The 11,918-nt window shown below is 43.0% G+C and overlaps 1 long non-coding RNA gene across 1 annotated transcript, besides 1 other annotated feature; it reads right to left on the bottom strand.

The window, feature by feature from the left end:
* Window positions 1-11,918: part of a sequence alteration artifact (region identified as an assembly artifact by the Genome Reference Consortium. This region falsely duplicates sequence located at GRCh38 chr21:34374240-34495759) that runs on past both edges of the window.
* On the bottom strand, window positions 7,544-10,548 carry LOC105379505 (uncharacterized). Its single transcript, XR_951148.2, has 2 exons — window positions 10,326-10,548; window positions 7,544-7,805 (listed from the first exon to the last, which is right to left on the bottom strand). It is a non-coding gene; the product is annotated as an uncharacterized LOC105379505 (long non-coding RNA).

Genomic DNA, 11,918 nt, shown 5'->3' on the forward strand with positions numbered 1-11,918 from the left:
TATTCATAATTGCCAAAAACTGGAAGCAACTAAGATTCTGTTCAACAGCTGAATGAATAAACAAGTTGTGGTACATCTATATAGTGGAATACGGAATATAATTCTGCAATAAAAAGAAATGAGTATTGAGCTATGAAAAGTTGTGGAGGAATCTTAAATGCATACTGCTAAGTGAAAGAAGCCAGTATGTTTATAGCAGCATGATTTATATTCCTTTGGGTATATACCCAGTAAACTATGCAACCATAAAAATGATGAGTTCATGTCCTTTGTAGGGTCATGGATGAAGCTGGAAACCATCATTCTCGGCAAACTATCGCAAGGACAGAAAAACAAACACTGCATGTTCTCACTCATAGGTGGGAATTGAACAATGAGAACACTTGGACACAGGAAGGGGAACATCACACACCGGGGCCTGTTGTGGGGTGGAGGGGGGGAGGGATAGCATTAGGAGATATACCTAATGTAAATGACGAGTTAATGGGTGCAGCACACCAACATGGCACATGTATACATATGTAACAAACCTGCACGTTGTGCACATGTACCCTAGAACTTAAAGTGTAATAAAATACATATATATATATAAAGAAGCCAGTATGCAAAGGCTACATATTATATGATTCCAATTACATAATAGTCTGGAAAATGCAAAACTGTAGAGACTCGAAAGTGATCAGTGAGTTCCAGGGTTAAGGTGGAGGGTAGAGGGTGAATAGGTGAACTGCAGGTAATTTTTAGGGCAGTAAGATTATTGTAATGTAAAATTTTAGGGCAGTAGAATTATTTAAATGGTGGATATAAGATATTGCGTTGCATTGCCTATGCAACCAAAGGTGAACCTTAATGAATGCAAATTTTGAAAAATTATTTAAGAGGTTGGGGGATCCCAAGAGAGAATGCAGACCATGAGAAGAGAATCTAACTGTATTACAAATATAGGAAACACTCTCACTGAAGGGATGGGTCGGGGAGGGGAAGAGAAGAATACTGAAGTATTTTGGAAATAAGTGAGGCTTATAAGATTAAAGGCAAAGGGAACTGCATGTGAGCACTGTACTCTAGTTGAAAAAATTGTTTCCCATAGAGGTACTGGTTAACAATTCTGTTATTGCTATGTATTTATACTGGAATGGAACAATTACATGAATGGATGGCAGATGGTAGAAGCCAGGTTTCTCACCACTGGAGTGGCTGTTTATCAAAAAGCAGGAGGAGAAAGAATCATTCATGCAGTGATGGATTTGAGTTGGAGAGAGCAGTGTGGACTCATATTTAGCTCAATAGAGAGGCTGATGGTTATCTATAGAAGTATTTATAGATATGCATATATACATGATATAGTATAAACATGTGTGTTTCTTGCTCTGTCCCTGAAACAGCCTGAAAGAAATGACATCCCAGTAACAGCAAACGTGCACAGCACCGTATCTTGGTTTCTAATACTATTCTCCATTTAAACGAACCAGGATTCTTTGGAGAAGTGGCTGTTTCTAAGACTGGGACAGGAAATATCCAAGATGAGCCTAAAGCATCTGGTAGTGCCAGAAAGTAAGGAGGTGCTCAAGAACAAAACAGGACCAAACAAAACATTGATCAGGGTCTGTCAAAGGAGCACAGATGCCAGCTAAAAGAGTTCCCAATGGCCAAAGCTGGAACACTTTGCGGTAATAAAGTAGTATTGGATTATAACCTACAGTATAAAGTAAATATGCATGGTATAAATACATGGTTAAATATATTAATAAATGAGGAAGCAGAGACAAATCTCTCTTACAAAAGAATTCCATATATTTTACACAGGTACTCTGTCTTCAAGAAGAAGGAATCAAACTCCCCATTCCTTCAGTGTGAGCTGTACATAATGACTTCCTCCCAAAGTGTACAATATAGAAAAGGGGAGAAAAAGAGTAAATTTACAGTGGAGGACCCTGACAAGCGCCACTCAGGCAGGCGACCAAGGCTACCTTCCGCACTCATAAATCATGCTGACAGTAGGTACGCTTGATATCACGGGATGAAAATAGCACTTCACCTCTGTGATTTTCTTTCCAATAACTTACAACCCCAGTTTTCTAATGAGAAAAATATCAGGCAAATTCCAAAAGTGGGACATTCTACAAAATACCTAAGCAGTCCTCAGAACCCTCAATGCATCTAAAGAAGGAAAGTCGGAGAAACTGCCACAGACAGCAGGTGCCTAAAGAGACATGACAACTAAATCTAATGTGGGATTCTGGAACAGAAGGAAAAGACATTAAGTAAAGACTGAAAGAACAAAATTATGAACTTTTGTTAATAACAGGTCATTATTTGTTTCATTGTAACAAATGTAAGATATCGATAATAGGGGAAACTGGATGTGAAGTATATTGAAAGAATTGAACAATGAAAACACTTGGACACAGGAAGGGGAACATCACATAACCAGGGCCTGTTGTTGGCGGGGGGGATGGGGGGAGGGATAGCATTAGGGGATACACCTAATGTAAATGAAGAGTTAATGGATGCAGCACACCAACATGGCACATGTATACATATATAACAAACCTGCACATTGTGCACATGTACCCTAGAACTTAAAGTATAATAATAATAAAAAAGAAACTCTCTGTGCCATCTTCTCAACGTTTCTAAAAATCTGAAACTGCTGTAGAAAATAAAATCTATTTTAAAAAATTTAAATAAGCAAACTGCTCACTACTACACAAAAAAAGCAAAGATTAGTCTCTTGAGTATAAAATTGAGCAGAAGAAGCCAGACACAGCCTGCAAGCTCCAACTCCATTCATAAAGAGTTTGCAAACTGGCAGCGATGGCGCGAGAGCTTAGGAAATTGTTTCACTGGGGGAAGTGGAACAGACGTTGACTGGATGATGTCACATGAGGGGCTTCTGGGGTACTATTAACATTCGATCTCAAATCCAATTGGTGGTTATATTTTTGTTTCCTTAAATTAATAAGTATTAATTTATGAAAATTAATTGAAATGACACTCATAATCTGTGCACTTTTCTGTACAATTCAATAAACTTAATGATAAAAACAAGAATGAATCAGAACTGTGTATATCAACATGGATCAATCTAAAAAGCAATGTTGATTAAAAAAATTTAAAAATATGTCCGGGTGCAGTGGCTCATGCCTGTCATCCCATCACTTTGGGAGGCCGAGGTGGGCGGATCACCTGAGGTCAAGAGTTTGAGACCAGCCTGACCAACACGGTGAAACCCCATCTCTACTAAAAATTACAAAAATTATCATGCCTGTAATCCCAGCACTTTGGGAGGCCGAGGTGGGCGGATCACCTGAGGTCAGGAGTTTGAGACCAGCCTGACCAACATGGTGAAACCCCGTCTCTATTAAAAAATACAAAAATTATCATGCCTGTAATCCTGGCACTTTGGGAGGCCGAGGCGGGCAGAGCACGAGGTCAGGAGTTTGAGACCAGCCTGGCCAACATGGTGAAACCCTGTCCCTACTAAAAATACAAAAATTAGCCAGGCGTGGTGGCATGGGCCTGTAATCCCAGCTACTCAGGAGGCTGAGGCAGGTGAATTGCTTGAACCCAAGAGGCAGAGGTTGCAGTGAGCCAAGATCTCACCATTGCACTTCAGCTCTGGGCAACAGAGTAAGACTCTGTCTCAAAAAAAAAATACAAAAATTAGCCAGGCATGGTGGCGGGCGCCTGTAATCCCAGCTACTCAGGAGGCTGAGGCAGGAGAATCGCTTGAACCCGGGAGGCACAGATTGCAGTGAGCCAAGATCGTGCCATTGCACTTCAGCCTGGGTGACAGAGCAAGACTCCATCTCAAAATAAATAAATGAACAAATAAATAAACAAAGCAATGTTGAATGTTAAAAAAGTAATTTGTCAAATAATAACTAAAATAGACTACTTTTTTTATACGTACCTTCTGTAAAACAAACTATGTTCTTATTTATGGGCTTACAAAATTTAGCCTAAGTATCAAAACACACTTGAGATTATAAATACCAAATTCATGATAGCAGTTATCTCTGCAAAGAGAGGAAAGAAAATGAAATTGAGGAGGGGGACTCACTTTTTTTTTTTTTTTTGAGACAGAGTCTCACTCTATTGCCCAGGCTGGAGTGCGGTCGCATGATTGCGACTCACTGCAAGCTCTGCCTCCCAGATTCAAGTGATTCTCCTGCCTCAGCCTCCCGAGTAGCTGAGACTACAGGCGCACACCACCACACCTGTATTTTTTGTAGAGATGGAGTTTTGCCTTGTTAGCCAAGCTGGTCTCGAACTCCTGACCTCAGGTGATCCACCTGCTTTGGTCTCCCAAAGTGCTGGGATTATAGGCATGAGCCACCATGCCTGACCAACTTCTACCTATACTGTTGCATGTATATATATTTAAAAATCCAAAAAACATATTGCAAAATGTTAAGTTGTGATACAGTTGGGTTCAGCTACAAGGGTAACCATGACATTTCTCTATAACTGCTTCTAGTTTTGAAATACATATATATGTATACACACACACGAGTGTGTGCTCTATAAGAACATGTAACTAATATTGTATAGTGCAATAACAGCCTAGGAGAATTAACAAGCATTTTGCCATCAATACTTATCCTTTGTGTTGCTGAGGATGAATGAACCCATAGATCATTAGTCTTTGAAGCCGTTGGCTTCTTTTAAAAGTGGTTCTAACTCGAAGACTAATGACCTTTGCATTTCACCAGCCCCACCTTGTTAATCTCATATCTTTCAAGACATGTACACTTTGGGAGGCCGAGGCGGGTGGATCATGAGGTCAGGAGATCGAGACCATCCTGGCTAACAAGGTGAAACCCCGTCTCTACTAAAAATACAAAAAATTAGCTGGGCGCGGTGGCGGGTGCCTGTAGTCCCAGCTACTTGGGAGGCTGAGGCAGGAGAATGGCGTGAACCCGGGAAGCGGAGCTTGCAGTGAGCCGAGATTACGCCACTGCAGTCCGCAGTCCGGCCTGGGTGACAGAGAGAGACTCCGTCTCAAAAAAAAAAAAAAAAAAAAAAAGACATGTAATCCCAAAGTTTCCTTGAAGATAAATTACATTTGCTGACAGGACTCTTTAGAACCACTGAGAACAGTCAGATATTGGAGGTCAATGAGGAAACAACCCCACTGCTGATTCACTCCATAGCATGCACTGAGCACCCACATGGTCCACATGAGATGTGATGGGGCTTGAACCAGTCTGGCTGTAGAGGGGAAAGAAGGAGAGAAACAGATCTGAGAAGCATTTTGAGGCAGAGCTGTCAGAAGTCACCAAATGGCTCTGAATAACATGGCGGAGTCCAAGAGGCCAGAAGAAGAATCAAGAACAGCCAGGGCCGGTTTGAGCAGCTGTGTGAAGGCTGGCACCATTAACTAGGGTAGAAAGCATGGTGGAGAAATGGGGCTGGCTAAGCAAAGTTGCGGGTTCAATCAAGAAGTTTGCCTTTGGAATGTGTCATGGTTGAGATGCCTTTCACAATCCAAGTCTAGGCCTGGTGAGGTGGCTCATGCCTGTAATTCCAGCACTTCGGGAGGCTGAGATGAGAGGATCGCATCAGTCCAAGAATTTGAGACCAGCCTGGGCATCATAGTGGGACCTCATCTCTACAAAAAAACATTTAAAAATTAGCTGGCTGTAATGGTAAATGCCTGTAGTCCCAGCTACTTGGGAGGTTGAGGTGGGAGGATGGCTTGAGCCTGGGAGGTTGAGGCTGTAGCAAGCTATGATTATGCCACTGCACTCCAGCCATGGTGACAGAGCAAGACCTCATTTCAAAAAAAAAAAAAAAAATCCAAGTCTAGATGTGACCAGGTATGTGGAATCTGGAGCTCAAAGAGGAGTCAGACTGGAAAGATATACACTTGGATGTCACCAGCATATTGATGTTGCTTCATGCCATGGGACCCAATGGGGCCCCCCCACCCTGGAGGAGGGTAGTTAGAGAAGAGAGGTCTGAGGATCAAGTCCTGGGATGGTTAGAGTTTCATAGAGGAGCAGGAACATAAATAATAAAGGCCAACCACATAAGGAAAACAAAAGCTATATATTCAGGGTATACTGTAACAAGGGAGTCGTCACCATCACTTACATTTTGGTAGAGACTCCAAGGCAAGAGTGGGAAAGTTTGACAGTGATGTTAACCAAAAACTGACAGAGGCAGGTGTCTCAATTGATAGCGGTTTATTTCGCCAAGGCTGAGAATGTGCCTGGGAAAAACTCGAGTCACAGGAACATCTATGACCTGTGCTTTCCAAAGAGGGTTTTGGGAATTCAGTGTCGAAAAGGCAAAGAACAGACAGGAGGGAAAAAAGCGAGGGAGGGTGGGCAGTGAGGCAAATGGTAACATTATTGTGAGGTTCTGATTAACGCTCAGTAAATTGGCATTTTACATAAAATAAAGCAAACACGTGAAAAGAGGAAGTATGGGGAAAAGTCAATGATGCATTTATCTCAGGGTGGATGAAGGGATGATTTCTGGTCTTGTCCTTGTCCTCTTACCTGTGAAGATAAACTTGTAATTGACATTGTTAGGGTGAGATTGAACAGAACTCAGTTTCGGGGCTAGCTTATAGGGGGGATATGTATCCTATAAGATTTAGGGCTCACACAGAATTTCCTTGTGAGCAATTTGTGAAGAAGGCCATCTGGGGAGATATGTGGCCTCCTATCTTTGTGGGAACCTGGCTTATGTATGACGTTATGACACAGGGTTTTGAAATTACAGCTATTTGAGAACAAAAGAAAGGCAGTATTGCATGACTCAGTTCCCAAGCTTAACTTTCCCTTTGGCATAGTGAGTTTAGGGTCCTGCGATTTTGTTTTCTTTCACAGTGGAAAGGAAGGGAAGGCTGCAGGTGCACCCTGATGGGAGTCTGTTGGCATGGCGAAGCCCTAGGTGAGCTAATTAGGGGCAGGGTGTCCCATGGAATTGGCTAGGGATGCATATTTGGTTTTCTCTGGTTGGTCCTAAAATTAAAGTGAAGACAAAAATTAGGGGAGCTGTCAGTTATTAATCAAGTCCTGGTCATTGTGGGCCAACTGTTATGGATATTATTATTTAACTTCCTGAATTGTTACTAGAGATAGCAGTCCGGCTTTCTATGAGTCTGACTTATAGCAGGCTGGCTTCCGGTTGTTTATTGTAGATAAAGGGGTTGGGTTCCTGGCAGGTAGCTGCAAGCTGTGAGTCATAGTTCTATTTATATATCATGTGGCCATTGTCCATTTGTATATTTAGTCTCTTGGGAGAAAAAAGCCGAAAAGGAGATTGAAAGGAGCAGCTAGAGAGAGGAGGGAAACTAAGACAATATCATCATCCCAGAACTTAGGAAGATAAAGTCCCAACAAGAAAGGGGTGGTTCACTGAAGCAAATGCTGCTAAAATGTCTGATAAGATGAGGATGTCAAAGTAGGTGAAGCTTTTCCAGGTGAAAAAGAGACGTAGCCATCATTGTTGCTGAATTCTCAGACACAGGAAACATTTTCCTGTGGCTTCAGGCAATGGTGAAATAGGAACTAACAGGGTCAGCTAGGAAGAGAAACTTTTAATGCCTCTAGGGGGCACAGCATATCATACCTAACAACTGAGCAGCAAATACCGTCCCCTACTCTCCAGACGCATTTTCCAGCCCAACATGGGATTCTTAGATTGGTTAGATGGCAGCATCTGAGACCACAATTAACCTGAAATCCAAGCTCAGGCACTTGCAGCTCCAAAGCCTCACACTCGATGCTCCGAGTTTAGGGACTTCTATCAAGTAAATTGGGAAATGGGTCGTTCTCCTTTGAAGACTGTTAGGAAAGAGGGACAAAAACGGAAAAAAAAAAAAATCAATCCCTGAGTTTAATCTCCAGTATTCCTTCCCAGAAACTTTAAGTTAGCTACAAGAATGTTAATCATGAGCAGAAATTGTTTAATAATCAAATTATCATAAATTTGCTTTTCTTTTACCTTAGTAAGGTAACTATGTGACAAACATTTGTGAAGTTGAGAATAGATAAAAGTACCCATCATATGATCTAGCCATCCCACTGTTGGACATATACCCAAAAGAAAGGAAATCAATATCTTGAGGAGATATCTGCACTTCCATGTTTTTTGCAGCACTGTTTACGATAGTTAAGATTTGGAAGCAACCTAAGTGTCCATCAACAGATGAATGGATAAAGAAAATGTGATACATCCACACAATGCAGTACTATTCACCCCTTAAAAAGACTGAGATCCTGTCATTTACAACAACATGGATGGACATGGAAGACATCATGTTAAGTGAAATAAGCCAGGCACAGAAAGACAAACATTGCATGTTCTCACTTATTTGTGAGATCTAAAAATCAAAATAATTGAACACATGGATATAGAGAGTAGAAGGATAGTTATCAGAGGCTGGGAAAGCTATTCGGGGGCTGGTGGGTGGGTGGGGAGAGATGGGGATGGTTAATGCATGCAAAAAATAACTAGAAAGAATGAAGAAGACCTACTGTTTGAGAACACAACAGGGTGCCTATAGTCAATAAGAAGTTAATTGTACACTTAAAATAACTAAAAGAGTATACTTGGATTGTTTGCGACACAAAGGATAAATGCTTGAGGGGGTGAATACCCCTTTCTTATGATGTGCTTATTTCACATTGCATGCTTGCATCAAAACATCTCAGGTTCTCCATAAATATATACACCTATTATGTACAAAAATTAAAATTATTTTTAAAAAGTGCCAAGAAACTCTGTACCCTAACATAGCCCTGTTAGAATTACTTAGCACTAATAGTTGCCTTTGCTGAGTGATGCAAGCAGATGTCTCTGGCCCTCAAAGATGAGGAGACACTGCTGCTCTGCTTGGTGTGAACATAAACTCCAGTTCTTCTGGGAACTGCCTTAAAGACAGCAGAAACTGGAGAGCAGAGAAAAGTGGAAAGTGGCCAGGCACGGTGGCTCACACCTGTAATCCCAGTACTTTGGTAGGCCGAGGCAGGCAGATCATGAGGTCAGGAGTTCGAGACCAGCCTGACCAACATGGTGAAACCCCGTCTCTACTAAAAATACAAACATTAGCCAGATGTGGTGGTAGGTGCCTCTAATCCCAGCTACTTGAGAGGCTGAGGCAGGAGAATTGCTTGAACCTGGAAGGCTGAGGTCAGTGAGCCGAGATCTTGCCACTGCACTCCAGCTTGGGCAACAAGAGCAAAACTCCTTTTCAAAAAAAAAAAAAAGTGGAAAGCATAACCTTGCTTGATGGTGAGGTTGAATCCCCACCTTCGCCTTTCTCAGATTTATTCCCATCTTCCTACTCCTCCAACCCCTATGTTGGCTCAAGCCCAGATGGCTCTCACCTGCATTAACCTAACCATCTCGTAACCCATCTCCTCTCTTTGTTCCTTTCCTATGCACCCTCCACATGGCCAGCTGCCAGAGGATCTTTCAAAATGACTAATCTTACTATTCTTCTCCTCTACAAAGCTTCAGAGGCTTCCAGTCTGGACTCCTTAACAACACATAAAAAATTCCTCTTCTGTTCTTCCTCTGGCTGGTGGCTCTCAACCTTGGCTGCACTTGAGGATCCTGGGGAGCTTTAAAAACTGCCCTGCTCTGGTTTAGTCAGTCTGGGCTGGGTCCCAGGTGTCTAGAGTTTTAGTTTTGTTTCCCAGGACCTGGTGACTCCTTGAACTATTTGCAGATTCCTGAACCCCTGTCGGAGAGTAAGCTGTGTTCTAATCTCATCAGATCTAAGGAGAGATGTAGGAACTTGCCTTGAGGCTTGAATTCTTTCTCCTACTCTCCACTTGTGGTAGTCAGTCTTTTGCATTTAAGGGTCAAAAATAAGAAGGCCTATTGTGTTTCCAAGGCTGGGGTCCATAGTGCATACGATAGGTTTCAGAGGGAGAGATGGCAGTGGAGATGGGGAAAGAAAATGTGGAAACCTGAGTCTAGGATGTTGCTTGCTAAGTGTACTAGAATATGCCACCCCAAATATGCCTCTTTGGCATATAATTATTTTGAGCTGAAGGCTATTGAGAACCAGCAGATGCACGAAAGGTCTAAAAACAGAGTCTAAGTTTTCCTTTTGTAAAGGATTGTAGAGGTGTCTCCTTCTCCCAGGAAGAAGACTCTTAACTACTCATCAGAGGAGAAAGGGCAGACTTAATTCTGCACAACAAATCTTACTAAACACCTCTTGTTTACCATCCTTTTCCTGGTTAACTTCTCATAAGTTGCCTCCCCTACACAGAAGCCCCAACCCCTTCTTTTTTGTTTTAGCCTAAGATGGTATTTAACCCCCAGTCTAACCACCCCTTTGGGTTACTCACCTCTTAGTGTTCCTGTGTGTACACAGACAACGAACTTGTAAGTAGACTTGTTTTTCTCTTGTTAATCAGTCTTTGGCCAGTCTAACTTATAAGGTTTCAGTTGGAAAACCTAAGATGGGTAGAGGAAAAGATTCCCCTGCAACACACTTATATTATGAAACCAAACTGGATACCAAGCAAGGAGGATCGGGCATCTAACACTTAACTCCTGACCTCCACAATAGCTTGCAGGTAAGGGTTTTTTTTTTTTTAATATATATATGTATTTTTATTTAAGTTCTAGGGTACATGTGCACAATGGGCAGGTTTGTTACATATGTATACATGTGCCATGTTGGTGTGCTGCACCCATTAACTCGTCATTTTTTTTGTTTTGCTTTTTGTTTTGTTCTGTTTTTTTTGAGACGGAGTCTCGCTCTGTCGCCAAGGCTGGAGGGCAGTGGCACAATCTTGGCTCACTTTAAGCTCCACCTCCTGGGTTCAAGTGATTCTTCTGCCTCAGCCTCCTGAATAGCTGGGACTTCAGGTGCCTGCCACCACACCCGGCTAATTTTTGTATTTTTAGTAGAGACGGGGTTTAACCATGTTGGCCAGGATGGTCTCAAACTCCTGACCTCAGGCAATCCACCCGCCTCGGCCTCCCAAAGTGCTGTGATTATAGGCATAAGCCACTGTGCCCGGCCACAGGTAAGGGTTTTAAAGGCAGGAGGCAGAGGTTACAGGCAAAATAAGAAATCATGGAGGTTATACATTGGTTTAACCTAGAAAGGTGGAACATCTTGAAGTGGGCCCACAGGTCATAGGTGAGGCAAAGCTTTGTCTAAAACTGTGGGATCAGTAGAAAAGAATGTCAGCTCTGGCTCATGGGTGTGACTTCCTCCAGGCTCCCCAGGGAGAAATTTAGAACAAAGAATGGCAGTCAGAATTCAGTCCTCAATTCCTCTTTATCTGAAGTCTATGTGTCAGTGGATCCATTTGGTGGATCCATTGGTGGGGGTCCAGGTTTCTGAAACAACTCTGGGACATATGTTAATGGCACAGGACTTTTTTGGGGTGCCACTTCACCAGCCAGAGACCTCTGCAGCTGGCTGCACCCCTGCCTGGGCCTCACTCAGCTCTGAGCTGGCCTCTGGCCTTGCTCCATCCAGTTGGCCCAGCAGGCTGCACCCAGCTCACCCTACCAGCCACCACAGGTGAGCCAGGTGTGGAGTGGCAAGTTTGCAGGGTCCAGTTACTGTGCACAGTCAGGTGCATCAGCTGCTGCAATGGAATGAGCAGCTCCAGGTGCTGGCATCCAGACTAGGGGAACACAGTGGCACCCAAAAACTTGGAGATGCCAGCACCTGTGAAGCCCCAAAGGGGGTGTTACATCATGTCACAGCACTGGCTCCAGAAGCTCTGAGGTCTAGATGTCCAGAAGGGTTGCAGCTCTTTTCTCCTTCCCGCCACTCACAGTGCAGAAAATGGGGGTATGTTAACAGCTCATTCAGTCCTGCTGCCCTGCTCTAGCTTGTGGCTCCTGGGAAGGCCCGGCCCTGCTGCCATTTCCCATCACGTGGGACGGATGCCCAGCACTGGCGGAGGGTGGGAGGG

This window comes from Homo sapiens, chromosome 21 (assembly GCF_000001405.40).
Source record: "Homo sapiens chromosome 21, GRCh38.p14 Primary Assembly".
Taxonomy (NCBI): Eukaryota; Metazoa; Chordata; class Mammalia; order Primates; family Hominidae; genus Homo; species Homo sapiens.